Raw genomic sequence first — 19,876 nt, forward strand, 5'->3', positions numbered from 1 at the left:
AAGCCTCCAAGAAATATGGAACTATGTGAAAAGACCAAATCTACATCTGATTGGTGTACCTGAAAGTGATGGGGAGAATGGAACCAAGTTGGAAAACACTCTGCAGGATATTATCCAGGAGAACTTCCCCAACCTAGCAAGCCAGGCCAACATTCAAATTCAGGAATTACAGAGAATGCCACAAAGATACTCCTCGAGAAGAGCAACTTCAAGACACATAATTGTCAGATTCACCAAAGTTGAAATGAAGGAAAAAATGTTAAGGGCAGCCAGAGAGAAAGGTCGGGTTACCCACAAAGGGAAGCCCATCAGACTAACAGCGGATCTCTTGGCAGAAACTCTACAAGCCAGAAGAAAGTGGGGGCCAAAATTCAACAGTCTTAAAAGAAAGAATTTTCAACCCAGAATTTCATATCCAGCCAAGCTAAGCTTCATAAGTGAAGGAGAAATAAAATCCTTTACAGACAAGCAAATGCTGAGAGATTTTGTCACCACCAGGCCTGCCCTAAAAGAGCTCCTGAAGGAAGCACTAAACATGGAAAGGAACAACTGGTACCAGCCACTGCAAAAATATGCCCAATTGCAAAGACCATCAATGCTAGGAAGAAACTGCATCAACTAACGAGAAAAATAACCAGCTAGCATCATAATGACAGGGTCAAATTCACACATAACAATATTAACCTTAAATGTAAATGGGCTAAATGCTCCAATTAAAAGACACAGACTAGCAAATTGGATAAAGAGTCAAGACCCATCAGTGTGCTGCATTCAGGAGACCCATCTCATGTGCAGAGACACACATAGGTTCGAAATAAAGGGATGGAGGAAGATCTACCAAGCAAATGGAAAACAAAAAAAAAGCAGGGTTTGCAATCCTAGTCTCTGATAAAATAGACTTTAAACCAACAAAGATCAAAAGAGACAAAGAAGGCCATTACATAATGGAAAAGGGATCAATTCAACAAGAAGAACTAACTATCCTAAATATATATGCACCCAATACAGGAGCACCCAGATTCATAAAGCAAGTCCTTAGAGATCTACAAAGAGACTTGGACTCCCACACAATAATAATGGCAGACTTTAACACCCCACTGTCAACATTAGACAGATCAATGAGACAGAAAGTTAACAAGGATATCCAGGATTTGAACTCAGCTCTGCACCAAGCAGACCTAATAGACATCTACAGAACTCTCCACCCCAGATCAACAGAATATACATTCTTCTCAGCACCACATCGCACTTATTCCAAAATAGACCACATAGCTGGAAGTAAAGCACTCCTCAGCAAATGTAAAAGAACAGAAATTATAACAAACTCTCTCTCAGACCACAGTGCAATCAAACTAGAACTCAGGATTAAGAAACTCACTCAAAACTGCTCAACTACATGGAAACGGAACAACTGCTCCTGAATGATTACTGGGTACATAACGAAATGAAGGCAGAAATAAAGATATTCTTTGAAACCAATGAGAACAAAGACACAACATACCAGAATCTCTGGAACACATTCAAAGCAGTGTGTAGAGGGAAATTTATAGCACTAAATGCCCACAAGAGAAAGCAGGAAAGATCTAAAATTGACACCCTAACATCACAATTGAAAGAACTAGAGAAGCAAGAGCAAACACATTCAAAAGCTAGCAGAAGGCAAGAAATAACCAAGATCAGAGCAGAACTGAAGGAGATAGAGAAACAAAAAACCCTTCAAAAAATCAACGAATCCAGGAGCTGGTTGTTTGAAAAGATCAATAAAATTGATAGACTGCTAGCAAGACTAATAAAGAAGAAAAAAGAGAAGAATCAAATAGATGCAATAAAAACTGATACAGGGGATATCACCACTGATCCCACAGAAATACAAACTACCATTAGAGAATACTATAAACACCTCTACCCAAATCAACTAGAAAATCTAGAAGAAATGTATAAATTCCTGGACACATACACCCTCCCAAGACTAAGCCAGGAGGAAGTTGAATCCCTGAATAGACCAATAACAGGCTCTGAAATTGAGGCAATAATTAATAGCCTACCAACCAAAAAAAGTCCAGGACCAGAAGGATTCACAGCCGAATTCTACCAGAGGTACAAGGAGGAGCTGGTACCATTCCTTCTGAAACTATTCCAATCAATAGCAAAAGAGGGACTCCTCCCTAAGTCATTTTATGAGGCCAGCATCATCCTGATACCAAAGCCTGGCAGAGACACAACAAAAAAAAGAGAATTTTAGACCAATATCCCTGATGAACATCAATGCAAAAATCCTCAATTTTATTTTTGATAATCCAAGCAGCACATCAAAAAGCTTATCCACCATGATCAAGTGGGCTTCATCCCTGGGATGCAAGGCTGATTCAACATATGCAAATCAATAAACATAATCCAGCATATAAACAGAACCAGAGGCAAAAACCACATGATTATCTCAATAGATGCAGGAAAGGCCTTTGACAAAATCCAAAAGCCCTTCATGCTAAAAACTCTCAATAAATTAGGTATTGATGGGACGTATCTCAAAATAATAAGAGGTATTTATGACAAACCCACAGCCAACATCATACTGAATGGGCAAAAACTGGAAGCATTCCCTTTGAAAACTGGCACAAGACAGGGATGCCCTCTCTCACCACTCCTATCGCACATACTGTTGGAAGTTCTGGCCAGGGCAATCAGGCATGAGAAAGAAATAAAGGGTATTCAATTAGGAAAAAAGGAAGCCAAATTGTCCCTGTTTGCAGATGACATGATTGTATATTTAGAAAACCCCATTGTCTCAGCCCAAAATCTCCTTAAGCTGATAAGCAACTTCAGCAAAGTTTCAGGATACAAAATCAATGTGCAAAAATTACAAGCGTTCTTATACACCAATAACAGACAAACAGAGAGCCAAATCATGAGTGAACTCCCATTCACAATTGCTTCAAAGAGAATAAAATACCTAGGAATCCAACTTACAAGGGATGTGAAGGACCTCTTCAAGAAGAACTGCACACCACTGCTCAACGAAATAAAAGAGGACACAAACAAATGGAAGAACATTCCATGCTCATGGATAGGAAGAATCAATATAATGAAAATGGCCATACTGCCCAAGGTAATTTATAGATTTAATGCCATCCCCATTAAGCTACCAATGACTTTCTTCACAGAATTGGAAAAAGCTACTTTAAAGTTCATGTGGAACGAAAAAGGGCCCACATTGCCAAGATAATCTTAAGCCAAAAGAACAAAGCTGGAGGCATCACGCTACCTGACTTCAAACTATACTACAAGGCTACAATAACCAAAACAGCATGGTACTGGTACCAAAACAGAGCTATAGACCAATGGAACAGAACAGAGCCCTCAGAAATAATACCACATATGTCTACAACCACCTGATCTTTGACAAACCTGACAAAAACAAGAAATGGGGAAAGGATTCCCTATTTAATAAATGGTGCTGGGAAACTGGCTTGCCATATGTGGAAAGCTGAAACTGGATCCCTTTCTTACACCTTATACAAAAATTAATTCAAGATGGATTAAAGACTTAAATGTTAGACCTAAAACCATAAAAACCCTAGAAGAAAACCTAGGCAATACCATTCAGGACATAGGCATGGGCAAGGACTTCATGTCTAAAACACCAAAAGCAATGGCAACAAAAGCCAAAATTGACAAATGGGATCTAATTAAACTAAAGAGTTTCTGCACAGCAAAAGAAACTACCATCAGAGTGAACAGGCAACCTACAGAATGGGAGAAAATTTTTGCAATCTACTCATCTGACAAAGGGCTAATATCCAGAATCTACAATGAACTCAAACAAATTTACAAGAAAAAAACAAACAACCCCACAACAAGTGGGCGAAGGATATAAACAGACACTTCTCAAAAGAAGACATTTATGCAGCTAACAGACACATGAAAAAATGCTCGTCATCACTGGCCATCAGAGAAATGCAAATCAAAACTGCAATGAGATACCATCTCACACCAGTTAGAATGGCGATCATTAAAAAGTCAGGGAACAACAGGTGCTGGAGAGGATATAGAGAAATAGGAACACTTTTACACTGTTGGTGGGACTGTAAACTGGTTCAACCATTGTGGAAGACAGTGTGGCGATTCCTCAAGGATCTAGAACTAGAAATACCATTTGACCCAGCCATCCCGTTACTGGGTATATACCCAAAGGATTATAAACCATGCTGCTATAAAGACACAGGCACACGTATGTTTATTGCGGCACTATTCACAATAGCAAAGACTTGGAACCAACGCACATGTCCATCAGTGATAGACTGGTTAAGAATATGTGGCACACACACACCATGGAATACTATGCAGCCATAAAAAGGATGAGTTCATGTCCTTTGTAGGGACATGGATGAAACTGGAAACCATCATTCTCAGCAAACTATCACAGGGACAAAAAAAACCAAACACCACACGTTCTCACTCATAGGTGGGAATTGAGCAATGAGAACACTTGGACACAGGAAGGAGAACATCACACACTGGGGCCTGTTGTGGGGTGGGGGGAGGGGGGAGAGATAGCATTAGGAGATATACCGAATGTAAATGACGAGTTAATGGGTGCAGCACACCAACATGGCACATGTATACATATGAAACAAACCTGCACATTGTGCACGTGTACCCTAGAACTTAAAGTATAATAATAAAAAAGAAAGAAAAACATATTTCATGTTTCATTTTCCATGAAATATGGTATATTTCTCCATATCGTAAAACCTTCTTTTATAGCTCAGTAAATATTTGTTCTCTTAGCATAAACTCAGACATTTCTTGACAAAGTATTACTAGATCTTTTAACAATTAGATTATTAGATTTTTATTAGGCCTAATATTTTTATTATGCCTTGTAACTGCTTCTTACAAGCATATTTTATTAATTATTAGCTTATCTTGGATTTTGTCAAAAGAAAATCATATTATATACAAATTACATTATTAATTCAATGACAAGTAAGTATCTACTATGTGTCAGCCAAACTTAATAAGCACTGAGAATACAGTACTGAAGCAATCAAAAAATGAAAAACAACAAAAAGACCCAAAACAGATTATGGAGGTTATAGTTCCAGCAGGAGAGAAGAGCAATAAACCAAATTTTACAAAAATAATGTATAAACTAGGATAAATGGTGCTTAAAGCAAAGGAAGAACAATTGAGCAGAGAAGAGGCATATAAAATAACAAGAGTGGGTGTTGAAATTTTTGGAGTAGAGGGCCTCACTAAAAGAGTAACTTCTGACTAAGGAACTCAGAGCAAATCTGAAACAGAATAGTCATATATAAAATATTTTTAATGTAATGAAAGATCAGATTTTGGAGGTTCTTATGGATGGTATTTAGAGTTTTTACTTGGAGTGATTTGGGGAGATGTTGGATGATTTTCAGCATAAAAGTGGCATGAGATGCCATAGATTCTGTGGTTCTGACTGTGTTAAGACCAGATTTAAAAGGACAGAAGTAAGACCAGTTGGAAAGTAGAGTAGAAGTTGTAGTCACCCCTTCCTATAGCCTTGGTTCACCCTGAGACACCTGTATGTAGACAATCCCCACGTATATTAACTGCTTCCTTTTTCTCTGCCTGAAAAGCAGTGAGCACGAAAGTGCCAGGGACGTATGCCTAGAACTGACCCTTACCAAGTTCGGAAGAGAGTTGGTGCCTAAAGACTCCAATTTTCCTCAGTGAGACAATTCTGACGTGTTTTCTATATAGTCTATTAGAGGGTGCCCTGTAGAACTAGCCTTCAGTGTCAAACAGCATTAACTCACTCATCCATGCACGCTTCATCGGCTTTTCCTATTACACTCTCCCACTATCCTACCATGCTTCCTGGGATTACCCTCTTAGAGTCAGGTTTTGGAGGAACCCAACTAACACAGAGGTTGTTGTAATAATCTAGGCAAGACAGAATAAATAATACCTAGGACCAACACATAGTCTTAAAATGGTGATAATTGATTTAATGCTGGATACACTATAAGGAAGACCTGAAATAATTTGCCAATGTATTCAGTGTGAAATAAAAGAGAAAAAGAGGGATTGGGATGACTCCAAAAATTTTGTTCTGAGCAATTGGAAGGACATAGTGTCCATTAACTGAAACGGGAAAGAGTACAGTTCATCTGGAAGAGACTTAGTATATGGTGTGAGCTAGGAGTCATTTTTACAATATGAGCATATAGTTGATTCAATGCCATTTATGAAAAAGAACCTCCTTTATACACTGCAGTGATACTTTTGTCAAAAATCAAGTGACCATATACATGTGAATATTTGTCTGTATTTCATGTTCTGTTTCATTAACCTGTCTATTCTTACACAAATATCTGACCATCTCAATTTCTGTAAATTATAAGTCATAATATTTGGCAATGCAATTCTTGCAGCTCTGTTAATCTGGAAGATTACTTTTTGTTTCCTTTTTTTTTTTTTTCTTATTTTTGAGATGGAGTCTTGCCCTGTGGTCCAAGCTGGAGCACAGTGGTGCAATCTCAGCTCGCAGCAACCTCTGGCTCCCAGGTTCAAGCGATTCTCATGCCTCAGCCTCTCAAGTAGCTGGGATTACAAGCACGTGCCACCACACCCGGCTAATTTTTGTATGTTTTATGGAGAGGAGTTTTGCCATGTTGGCCAGGCTGGTCTTGAACTCCTGACCTCAAGTGATCTGCCTGCCATGGCCTCCCAGAGTGCTGGGATTACAGATGTGATCCACTGCACCTGGTTGAAGACTACTTTTTATAGCATTATTAGTCTTGCAACTTTATAACAAATCTTAACATCCATCATGTAATTCCTCCAACACTCTTCATCTTGAATAGATTTTCATATTCAATAGTGCAATTCCTTGAACTCTGTTCTTCAAGTCCCATTCAATTTCATTAAACTTCAGAAACATCTTATCTCTTTACGTACACACATAATGTTGATATTTTTAGAATGCTGACCAATTTGGGAGGAATGTAGATCAATTTAAATTAATAAATAATTGATTTGATAAATTTATATCAATTTGAGAAAGAATTAACATCTTTACTATATTGAGCTTCCTACTCAAGAGAATTTTTAATATGGGAAAATAACAGCATATTTCTATACTTATTACACTAGTAAACAGGGAAAAGTAATGATACAAGAAAAGAATTCTTGGAACAATATTTCAGAGTGAGAAAGGGTAGATAAGATCTAATATCTAAGTGGCAGGATCCACCTTAGCTAGGTACATGGCCAGTTCATCAATAATAATAGAAAAGAAGAAAGAGTAAATAGTCACATATGGAAGTAGTTCGGTAAAGTGGTGGTGATGGGATCTCATGAGCATTCTCTTTTGACTGCTTCAGTTCAGTGAAATAGCCTGAAAATGACATGGAAAGGAGGTATTAAAGATTTCAGCAAGAGCAGAACATGTAAATAATCATCTAGAAAAGTGGTAAAGTGAATGAAATTTGTAAATATATAAAAATTTTAGGGCAGCATTAAACTACCACTGGAGATTAGTGAGCAAAAATTTTAACTAAGAACAGTCATCACGGCTGTATGCTTTTCTCCAGCAGTTTTTAACTTCAGGACAGGAGATGGCAGAGAGTAAACCAACAAAGTTGTCTTCATTCCAAAATTATTACTTTTGTGATTATTTCCTCTCTCATTGCATAGGCTGCAAATCCAAGAACACACAAAAAATGACAATGGTTAGGGTAACTGTCCTTAAGTTGTTCTAGTTTTTAATGAGAATGCCCATAATAGGGCATCATTAAGTACAAAGATGGCTGCTGGTTTAAGACAGCTAGTTTGTTACCTCTTAAAAGTGTTTTTTTCTAAGAGTTGCCAGTGAAATGTGTCCTCTTTCCCTATGTCTTTTGAGATGAATGTCCATTTATTTTAATTATTTTTACTTTCTCTTGGTATTAAAATCTTCCATAGATTGAATATTTTTTACTTTCCTTTGGTTCTTCTCTAGCTCTATCATGTCTTTTGTCAGGTGTATCAATCAAGACATCATAATCCAGTATGAACTCACCAGGTTTTGTGTAAGGAAAGGGATAACATATATGTGGGTGGTGGCAGTGTGTTTCTGTATCTGATTCATACCAGACAATGTTGCTCAGCTTTTTTTGGTCATGGAAGGATGTTGAGAACAGTCTGCAATAATTATGTCAGTTGCTAGCATATAGTTGCTTTGGTAGCTTAGAGACAATAATCATAATTAACTTAAAAATGTTTTTTCTCTAAAATATATTATCTTACAATGGCTCACACTGATTATTTTTTGCTGTATTTCTATAAATTGCATACTTTTATTAAATGTTTCTCATGATTTTTATCCTCCAATGTGGGCTTTCATTTCCAAGAATAACTTAATTTACCAACTTGGTGCGCTACAACAATTAATAAAGATCAGAGAAGGTCTGAATACTGATTCCTAATGAATATACATTTTGCACATTTTGTCCAAAAATGAAACTGTTTATACCGATACCTTTCTTCTGTCTAAAATCCAATTCCTAGTTCAAAACAAATAGTTTCCCCAATTCCAGTACAAGACATAAATAAATGTCAAAATGTGAGTGATTACATCCAGGCTGTGACAGTTTCTACCAGTGACCATAGTGAATGATATTAACAGGGTGGTCAAAGCAAAGCACTGCTGGTGTGGGAGGCTCACCTGCACTCAGGGGGCAGGTGAATTATTGCATCAGTCTTTAGAGGAAGATGCTATGACTGAGGTGGGAACCACAGATGTGAATGGGGATGGAGAGAGTAGGGGTGAAAGTTAATGCCATTAAAAACTGAGATTGGGAACAGGTAATCAATTTGAACTGAGAAACTAATGGGAAAAGAATGAGAAGATAAGATGGATCCAGGAATCAAAGAACAGATAAGGGAACACTGGTAATTAAATTTATTCATCAAATGAGAATCACAGCCAGTTGATATGGGGCCCATGAAAAATATGGAAGTCAAATTTGTCAGAAGAACCAGAAAGATTGGGATCTTCCTCATGGATTGTGTCTAATGCTGGTTCAGAGGGTGTCTTCTCATCTGTATCTTCCTTATATAGATAAGCCTTCATATATTTTGGGGACAATATGATATAAAATAAGAGGAATTTTGTATGATATCACCAATTATTGTATGGAATCAAATACAGTACAGGTTACCTCATATTTCCAAAAGAGATTATCTTTGTTCAGTCAAAGTTTGAAATAACACAATTTCCCTGGGAAGTGGCTGTATTTCTGCTGCCATGTGTTATGCTAAAGATTTTCCACTAAAGCAGAACTGGCTGTAACAGGGACTGAACAGATGGTGGTCCATGGAATTTGTCCCAATAGTCTCTTCAAAGTCCTGCCTACTCTTAGTCACCTCTCTCTCATACCAGGCACTTGAATTCTCACTGTTAGAATACCATGTTTGCATGAAGGCATTATCTCCAGTTTTTTTAAAATTACGGAATTACAGTATCAAAAAGTACTGCCAAGAACTAAAAAGGGTCTCAAATTTTATCCTATTTGCAGGCTAACAAGTTAGTCAGTTGCAGTTTCTTGGATGCTGGCAGAAGACATAGACAAAGGAGAGTTTGTTATTCACAGAAATAGCGGTAGTCAAAGTATCAGTATTTTAACTCTGGTTCCCTGAGCCCCAGTTCCCACAAAGCAATACAAAGAGGACCAAATGATACCTGCATGTGCCGTGGATGCATGAGAGGAGAGGAATCATGAGCTTAGGGAACCCAAATATTTTATAATAGGCAGCAATCTGGCCTGCCCTTTACCAGGAAAAGAGAAGCTACCTTTATTACACTGAACAGTAAACAAATCCACACTTTGCTCTGGAAGGAGACACTATATCTAATTTCTAAGGCTGTTTGCTGTATAAATAAATTTGAAAATATAGTTCGGCACAGAGGCAATCTATATAAACCACGTTTTGTAGTTTCTGTAACTTGATGAATTAACATCTTCAAGATGGAATGTCAACCACTTTAGGTAAACAATTAGGGACCTGAGATAACCACCTGACATCCCCACACTCTTAGCCCCGCATGAGTTTATAGGGGTGACACTTTTAAATATAGCAAACCAGTCCCAGTGTATCCTTTCCTGCCTCAGCAGAAACCACTGTATCCTTTCCTTCACCCAGTGTATCCTTTCCCAGTGTATCCTTTCCTTCTCCCAGTAGAAACCACTGTAAGGCACTTATCTACTCTCTTTCTACCTTATAATTGATCCTGATCTTCCCCTATGTGGCCCCACATGGCATGCTGTATTTTCTCTTAAGAGAACTGTGAGAATAATAAACTTCTGTGATTTCAAAGCAGCTCTCTTTGTGCCTCACCATACTTTAATCAAGATTATGTTTAAAACACAGTCAGTAACTCTGCTCACAAAATATGGAAAAACATGAGTGGTCAATGGAGAATTGTCTCCCAATAGATACTAGCCCAAAGGCCATTGGTTCAAATCTCTAAAGATACCCAAATCCTCTCCAAAAAGAGAATTCCCTGCTCCCGCAAAACAACCTAGTCTGTCTTTCAAACATTTTTATTCAGTAATTCTATGTTATCTGTTATTTTTATCTTCTGGGCCTTCTTTTATACTTTGTGTTCTATGAAAGGGCCATATATGCAAAGTGGCCCCCAAGGGCCAAAGGAGTTGTGGAACCAAAGAAGGAGGCAGATAAATCCAGTTTGTTGAGATGGGATGATTTACTAGGCGGAACTTACAGTTGAAAGTGTGGTCTTGGGTGGCTGCAAAACAGGTAGCTCTCCATACCACAACACCCCAGACCCAGGGCTTATATTTGGGGAAAGTATAGTATACATGCTCTAGAGAGAATGTGTAGGTGACTATGGGTGTCACAGCCTATGATTTCTGCAACAGCATCAGGAGTTGTTTTGGAGGAAACTTACAGTGAACAGGTGTTTCCACATAAAGAGTAATACAGCAACGAGACATTTGGAGGCATTTCTGGACCTGGGATTAGTCAGAAGTTACATGGCAGGTTAACATTTAAGGTGAAGTCACTCTTTTCCCCACACCTGGAATCCAAAAAGAACATACGTATTTGTAGGCAACCATAATGTGCATGTCTTTCTCCCACTATTCTAGTTCCTGGAAACTTTTTTTTTAAGTAAAATTATCTGCAGTTTTTTCAACCATGTAGGTGACACTCTATTAAATGCAATCTTATTTGTCTACTATTAAAATATATTGCCCATAGAAAATATTTTAGGCGCAGTCTGTATAGACAACCCAGAGTAGAGTAGAATAGAACTGTTAACTCCTTGATTTACCTGCTACATGGTAAATCACTTCCTTATAAGCCATAGTGCACCTCTACTGATCAAGAGTCAATTATGAACTAAAGCCTCTAGGTCATTAACCTTGCCATGCCATAATTCACCCACCCTTTATTTTGTTTTTTTTCTCTAAAATACAGGACTTTATATTTATTGCTGTAAAATTGAATCTTAGATGCATTTCTTTTCTCAAGCATCTGAAAAGTCTCTCAGGTTCTGAAAATAAAATAAGTTATTCTTCCGAGCCTCAAAGGATCTGAAAATTTACTCTAATTTTATATAACCTAATCCTACTCCTTGGTTATAATGTAGAGCAGGATAGAGCTGAGGATAGGGCCCTATGTACTTGAATAGAATCTCCCATCGGGTTTGCTTGGTTGAATGCTCATTGAGCACAGTTGTTCAACAAAAGAATTAATTTAACTGAACTTTCTTCCAGACATTACTGGTTAAAAACATTCTCTTTGGAGGCTTTTGACTACTGCATTTCTAAATGCTGTCCTGTCAATTTGCTAACTAAAGAAAAGAAGATGGTATGTGACATGGTTTGGCTCTGTGTCTCCACCTAAATCTAACCTTCAATTGTAAGAATTCCCATGTGCCAAGGGCAGGGTCAGGTGGTGATAATTGAATTATGGGCATGGTTTACCCCATACTGTTCTCATAATAGTGAATAAGTCTCAAGAGATTTGATGGTTTTATAAATGGGAGCTCCCCCGTACAGTGTCTCTTGCCTGCCGCCATGTAAGACATGACTTTGCTCCCCCTTGCCTTCCGCCATGATTGTGAGGCCTCCCCAGCCATGTGGAACTGTGAGTCCGTTAAACCTCTTTGTCTCAGGTATGTGTTTAATAGCAGAGTGAGAATGAACTAATACAATATGCCATGACTTATTCTTACAGAATTCATGATGGCACCAGTGATCATTTTCTCTGTCATCTAGAAGCTCATTATTTTTTATATGTGCATGTGTCTCTTCTTAATAACAACTCAGAATAGGTTAACGTTTGGTTAATATATGCTTGCTGTGTGTGGTTCTGTTGTATGATTTGTCATGAAAATATAATATAAAGAAAAAATTTAATTGAAAAAAAAAAGATTCCAGGAAGCATTCAAAGAATGGAGAGGACTGGGCACATCATTAGGGTCAGAAGGAAGGGCACTGGGGAGGGGAATATACCAAAGTGGAGAAAAGAAATTAAGTGAGGAAGAAAACAGTGCATTTAACCTCTTTTAATTGAAATCTAACTTATTTTGGGGAGAATTACATTTTAAAAATTATTTTTCTGGCCACATAATCATTTGGGCCCTCAATTTGCATGTTTATTTCATTATCTGGTGCATAATCCTGGAAGGCAGGGACCATATCTAATTTTTCAGTATTTTAACCCCACAGTTTGAGAACATAGCTTGCTTATCCAATGCACTCAGTAATAATTTTGGAATTGAAATGTTTAATTTTGTGGGATTACATGCCAGAGTCTATTTAAGCTTGGACAATGACCCCTAGAAAGATGGAATGATTTGGCCGGGCGCAGAGGCTCACACCTGTAATCCCAGCACTTTGGGAGGCTGAGGCGGGCGGATCACGAGGTCAGGAGATCAAGACCACGGTGAAACCCCGTCTCTACTAAAAATACAAAAAATTAGCTGGGCGTGGTGGTGGGCGCCTGTAGTCCCAGCTACTTGGGAGGCTGAGGCAGGAGAATGGTGTGAACCCGGGAGGCAGAGCTTGCAGTGAGCCGAGATCAAGCCACTGCACTTCTGCCTGGGCGACAGAGCGAGACTCCATCTCAAAAAATAAAAATAAAAATAAAAATAAAAAAGAAAGATGGAATGATTTGTTTAGAATTGAACACATCTCAATGTATTCCTCAGCAAAAGTGCTTCTTCTCCATTCTAGGACTGTCTTTCTTGGATATCCAAGATTGGTCTAGAATCTCTGTACAGGCTGCTTACAAGACAGTTAAGCCTATTGTGGTTATTTGGCTTGGTGGAACTAGTTTATATATTAAGAAATGTACACTTTGATCCCAGAGTCTGAATAGTTACTTCTAATACCATTTGTTGGCTATCACATAGACACAGACATAAAAACATTTATCCCAGAGGGCCAAAAGGAGTTTTTCTGAGATGCTGATGTATATTTAGGAGCTAATGGTATATATTTAGAAGGGTCTCTTTCCCAGTTATTTTTATTAGCAATTGGAATAGTGCCAAAAATCATGAAATGAAAGTAAGCATTTCACTAAAATGACCCAAAAAGCACACCAAATTTGTCTGTAGTCCGAGGAAGGGCTAGCTGTGGCATATTTATGGCAGCGTTAACCAGAAGCCATAGCTTCTTTGATGACTGCACTCGTCTAAGCACTCTTAATGTGACTCATGGAAACAACAAGCAGTTGTGACCATGGCTTCAACAGCTGGGCTTGGAAAACTCCAAGGATCTTATGTGTCAACCAACTCCCAGTCCTTCCTTGTCCTTCCACTTAAGGATCTTCCTGACCTGGGGCCTTCTACATGCACATTTCTACCCAGCGTATTTCCAAAATTATTCCTTTCATCCCTGAGAGATCTGATTTTTTAAAAAAGTAATCAAAAAATTATTCTTCATAAATGACTGGATTGTTTTTATTAGCTGGTATATTTAAAAAATATTTTAGAAAAGGGGAACACCATAACATCCGTCTTTGCCCACATCCCATTAGAAATTCTGAAAGCATAGTGCAATATCAAGGAGCCCGGAGTACTTCTTTTCTTTATGTTTACTACCCCAGTTTTTAATTTGTAAAAGTATTCTGGCTTATTTGTATGTACAGGAACAGAGAGACTACCATTGCAGAAATTTTGTAAATGGGATGTGATATAGGAAAGCATTCACACCTCTCAGTAAATAGCTCTGAAACTCTTCTCTTACAGAAAGTCCCTGGATAGCCTTTTGCTAGAACTTTTCGTGTTTGAAAACTTAGTATTTGTCATCTATGTTTCCAAGAGCTATTCAACAAGAAATTTCATAGAAATATGCTTTATGTTCTTTGGAGAAAATGATAGATAACTATGTCATTTTGAAATTGACTTTGTTTCCTCCCAGGAGGAAGGGAGGAGCCGGGCACTTCCCAGTACCAGAAAAACAAGGCAGGCAAGGGCAACAGCAGAGAAGAGGAAAGGAAAAGAGACTGTGTCCTCCTTTCATGAGAAGAAATAGCTCTTCCTGGGGCCACACAGACCAATAATACTAAAGCTTAAAGGAGGTTGAAAGTGGGAAAGTGCCTCTGCTGCTCAAGACTCCTCATGGCCTTCTGCTGCCATGAAGGCCAGCATCTCATGCAGATGTCCAAAAGGCTGCTTTTGGCTGCCACATCTGCAAGCTCAGTTGCTGGACTGTCCAGATCATTCTCTAGGGCAGCCTAGATGGAAAGGGAAAAATTGAACCAAATTTTATTTTTATGACCATAGAACTTACGTTTTCTCCTCAAGTTTGGAGAAGGAACCAACTAGATCTTACTTAAAATGCAAGAATACACCCAGTACCATGAGATGAGCTTTTATATTCCAAGACAGAGCCTGGAGCCCATCTTTTTAATTATGTTAAAAGACCCAGAAACTCTTACTTCATAATGACAATAAGACTGTATTGGAGCTGGAGGATACCTCCAAAACATTAACGCATCAAAGATGGTCATGTATTTGGTTTAATTGAATAAAAGAAAACGTCATGAAAATCTTTAAGTCAGCTGAACCCGGTTAAATTTTTCAAAATCTTGGAAAATTCTCTTTCATCTACGCTGATGAGGTTTTTAAACTTTTATTTCGGCTTACTAATTTGCTCATCTTTGAAGTGTTGAATTGGAAGCAAACCATTTAGCTTTTGATGATTATTTCCAGAATTTGGAGTCTGATCTCTTGGTTAATTTGCCTCGTGTTGACATGAAGTGTATTCTAGTGGCATATCATAAGTAAAAGTATAAATGTTCCTTTCTTCATCATCCTGAATCTAAGCAGACTCTATGTATGACATGCAGAGTCAATAGCAACAGGACCAGGGATAGGCATTCTCCACTAGTGAGTAATGTATTTCAAACTCCTACACTAGACCTGCCTTCGCACGTTAATATGTCCTTGGAAACTTTTAATCAAATTATTAAATTCAAGTATATTGTATTAGTCTGCTTAGGCTGCTATATCAAAGTCTGGGTAACTCAAACAACTGACATTTATTTCTCATAGTTCTGAAGACTGAAGCATAAGATCCGGGTCTAGCATGGTTGGGTTTTGGTAATGGCCTGCTTCTAATCTTGCAAATGGTTACCTTCTTACTGTATCCTAACATGGCACAGAGAGGAAGCTCTGGTGTTTGTTCCTCTTCTTAGAAGGGTATTAATCCCATCGTGGAGGCTCTAGCCCTCATGACCTCATCTAAACCTTATTACCTCCCAAAGGCCCCCGCTCTTAATACCATCATGCTGCGAGTTAGAAGTTCAGCTCGAGAATTTGAGGGAGACACATTCAGTCCATAGCATAAACAATTACTAATTTCAATTATTAAGTATTGCTTATAGTTAGCTATCGTACGATTTTTTTTGTTTATAAATTTCTTTTATTTGCAAATATAATTTAAGCCCCATGAAGTCCTTGTGAAATGTTTATCTTGATCTACATTTTGTAGAGAGGACAACAGCTTGAAGACTAGAGCTTGATGAAACAGCAAAGTGTCGGAGCCAGTGCTTGCCTTCAAGTTTTGACCATTTCATGCTTTTGTTACACTTCACTTGCAGTGGTGAGAAATAATAATTTTATGTATGCACGTATGTAAAGAGGCACTAAAAATACAAAAGCACTAGATTTTTCAAAATCATCATGAAATGGAGAAGGATTTCCTAAAGATGACATAAAACCAAGAATCCAAAATGAAAAAAAAGACAAATCTGACTGGATAATAATATTAAAGTTCTATAACGTATAAAATAAATAAGAAATAAGAATATGAAAATCACAGAACAGATAGGAAATATTTAAGATGCATATGACAGATGGGGGCTAATTTTCTTAATATACAAAGAGCTATTATAAATCAAGAGCAACAAAAATGATTTAAAAATGAACAAAGAACACGAATAAGACATTAACAGAAAGAAATACAAGTATATAAAAGTAAGCTTGCTCTCTCTTACACAAGTTGAGCATTTCTGTTCTGAAAATCTGAATTCAAAATGCTCCAAAATCCAAGAATTTTTGAGCACTGACGTGACGCCAAAAGTGAAAAATTTTACACCTGATCTTCTATCATGGCTCACAGTCAAAACACAGTCAAAATTTTGTTTTCTGCACAAAATTATTTAAAATATTGTATAAAATTACCTTCAGGTTGTGTGTATAAGGTGTATATGAAACAGAAATCTCAGTTTTCTTTTCTGAATTTAACTAAGAGTAATACTCAGGTACTTGATATTTGTTTTAAAAACAAATGAATAAATGGGTTAAAAATTGGTAGCTTTGTCCTAAAAACAAAAACAAAAACAAAAACAAAACTCCTATACATAAATAAGACAGCACAGCCATGTTAGCCAGAGCTGTCCTTCACATCATGTTTTTAGTCACAGGTCTTCATAGAATTCTTACTCTTCTCATAAAGAATTTTCTGAGATTGCAAAATGTAAATAGCTTGGTCAGTGTATTAGTGCATTTTCATGCTGCTGATAAAGACATACCTGAGACTGAGCAATTTACAAAACAAAGAAGTTTAATTGGACTTACAGTTCCACGTGGCTGTGGAAGCCTCACAATCATGGCAGAAGGCATAAAGGAGCAAGTCATGTCTTACATGGATGGCAGCAGGCAAAAAGAGCTTGTGCAGGGCAACTTTCCTTTTTAAAACCATCATATCTTGTGAGACTTATTTGTTACCACAAGAAGAGCACAGGAAAAACCTGTTCCCATGATTCAATTACCTCCCACTGGCTTCCTCCAGTAACACGTGGGAATTTAAGATGAGATTTGGGTGGGGACACAGCCAAACCATATCAGTCAGTAACATTTATTCAAAGCCACAAATCATAGAGTAATCCAGGGCAGAAGAAAAGAAAATAGATATAAAGGTTGACCTCAAGGTTCTTAAGAGCCAACAGGATATCTAAACCTACTGTGAAACATATATGTTAATAGATAGAGATATAAGAATATATGTGCTACGTATAACAAGGTCAAGGTTTATGGAGTGAAGGACATGAGTGTTGTAGAGGGATAGGGAGGTTGTCAATGCAATAGAATGACCATAGGACCATATCTTCTGACTAAAGTGTGGTTCCTATTGGACCTCATGGTGTGCCCACATTTTTTGGCATCTCTCCTAGCTCCCTACCTCTTCGCTCCCGTTGCAATCACATTCATCCATACTTCCTGAGCTGCACATGTCTAGATTGAAACAAATGTTTCCATGTAGCAAACACACAGAATTCTCCCATAGGCAAAAAAGTACTGAGGTGTAATTAATGTCTTTTCAGACTATTGTCTGTATTTCCTTGAGCCCTCAGACTGATTGTCCTGTTCTAGTTCTAAGCCAAGGAGATCAGACTTAGATTAGGTTGAGTTTGTGTTCTTGGCTGCCAAGTACATCATTCTCCCTCATGTCTCTCTCTTTTTTTTTTTTTTTTTTTTTTTAGATGGAGTCTCGCTCTGTCGTCCAGGCTGGAGTGTGGTGGTGCAATCTCTGCTCACTGCAACCCCCACACCCCTGGTTCAAGTGATTCTCCTGCCTCAGCCTCCCAAGTAGCTGGGACTACAGGCGCATGCCACCATGCCCGGCTAATTTTTTGTATTTTTAGTAGAGACGGGGTTTCGCCATGTTAGCTGGGATGGTCTTGATCTCCTGACCTCGTGATCTGCCTGCCTCGGCCTCCCAAAGTGCTGGGATTACAGGTGTGAGCCACCACACTCAGCCCCTCATGTCCTTTCTATGAACCATCACATTTTTCTATGATGGGATATTCTGAGCAAATATGGCATTGTGGAGAAGAGACTATTTATTATAAGCACTGCATTTGGCTTTGTCCTACAGAAAAGAAATGACCAGAAGAATATAATAATTAGGTCAGAATGTCTTGTGATCAAAGTTGCATTATTGATACTTAGGACAACACCAAATCTTTGAACTAAGAAACTAGTTCATAGATTCAATGTCTATGACTAACTGTATTGCATCAACACCAATTAGTCATCTAACTTACTTTATTAAATGGGTCAGAAATGAAATATAAACAAAAGAAACATTTTTTAACTGTAAAACACCATGAAAACCACAAGTCAGCCTGTGATTCTCTTGGTAAACAAGGCAAAGACATTTTTTTCTTTTCTTTTTTAATATTTTGCCGGAGGGAATCCTAAGAGGTCATCTACTTCATTCTTTTTCTTTCAAGCAAGACCCATTCTAGCTATCTCTAAATAATAGAGAAGTCTTATCATATCTTATTCTTTTTTTATTAATTTATTTAGCTAAAAAGTTTTGGAGCATCTACTAAATGGCAGGCATGCTACTAGGATTGGAGCTAACAAGATAAAAAGAAAAGGAAAACATGATGTTTACCCATGAGGAAGTAGTTTAGTTAGGAAAGACTGGCTTGGGTACTTAAATTCCTTAAGCAAAATGGGGAAAGCAAGAGGATGCATAAGTTTGAGGGAGAAGAAAACATGTGGGTTTAATGGTATTGGGCTTGAGGCGCCCATGGAGGGGCCAGTAGGCTATGTGGGCCTGGAGAAGTTCTGATCTAAAAATACAGATATAGGAGTCACTTTCAACAGGGTTCTTAAAGCTGTGAGGATAGGAAAACCACATAAGAAGCCCACCTAGAATGAAAACCAGTCTTAGCAAAGGTGCTTCTTAGAAACCCAATTCAGCATTGTTATTATTCTGACAGTCCTGGTTACCTACCCATGTCTATCATCACTCTTTTAAGAATCATCCTCTCAGCCAGGCGCAGTGGCTCACACCTGATTTCCTAGCACTTTGGGAGATAGAGGCAGGCAGATCACCTGAGGTTAGGAGTTCGAGACCAGCCTGGCCAAAATGGCAAAACCCTGTCTCTACTGAAAATACAAAAATTAGCCGAGCATGGTGGTGTGCGCCTGCAATCCCAGCTACTCGGGAGGCTGAGGCAGGAGTATCGCTTGAACTCGGGAGACAGAGGTTGCAGTGAGCCAAGATCGCACCATTGCACTCCAGCCTGGGCAACAAAGTGAGACTCTGTCTCTAAAATGAAAAAGAAACAACAACAACAAAAAGAACCATCCTCTCCCTCAGACTTGATGAAAATAAGAAAATATGAGCGTATAGATGCACAGCTTGAAATGCCCAGGGTGGACGACCTTGAAGTTTGGCTGGATCGAAGTGCTAAAACACTGTAGTTAGGACTTGGCCTCTTTGCATCTTTCAGTTCTGCTGTCCTCCAAATTGGTTTTGTTTTGAAACATTTTCTCTCCACACGGATGTCTCCAGGAATTCCAGTCCTACATCCTACCAGTATCAAACCCCAAAAAGGAAGTTTCTCAGCACTA

The 19,876-nt window shown here is 38.2% G+C and overlaps 1 long non-coding RNA gene across 6 annotated transcripts in view; it reads right to left on the reverse strand.

The window, feature by feature from the left end:
- The window catches only part of LOC102723341 (uncharacterized), a 75,143-nt gene that overhangs the window by 27,518 nt on the left and 27,749 nt on the right, over positions 1–19,876 (reverse strand). Inside the window, exons 2-3 of one of the 6 annotated variants that reach the window (NR_187741.1) lie at positions 10,940–11,068; positions 7,071–7,384 (exon numbers count right to left, since the gene is read on the reverse strand). The exons of 3 other annotated variants lie outside the window; for them this stretch is intronic. This is a non-coding gene — a long non-coding RNA (uncharacterized LOC102723341). Of the gene's footprint in view, positions 1–7,070; positions 7,385–10,939; positions 11,069–19,876 lie in introns of those variants that run through there. 2 more of the 6 variants (NR_187738.1, NR_187742.1) reach the window with 2 other exon arrangements.

This window comes from Homo sapiens, chromosome 6 (assembly GCF_000001405.40).
Source record: "Homo sapiens chromosome 6, GRCh38.p14 Primary Assembly".
Taxonomy (NCBI): Eukaryota; Metazoa; Chordata; class Mammalia; order Primates; family Hominidae; genus Homo; species Homo sapiens.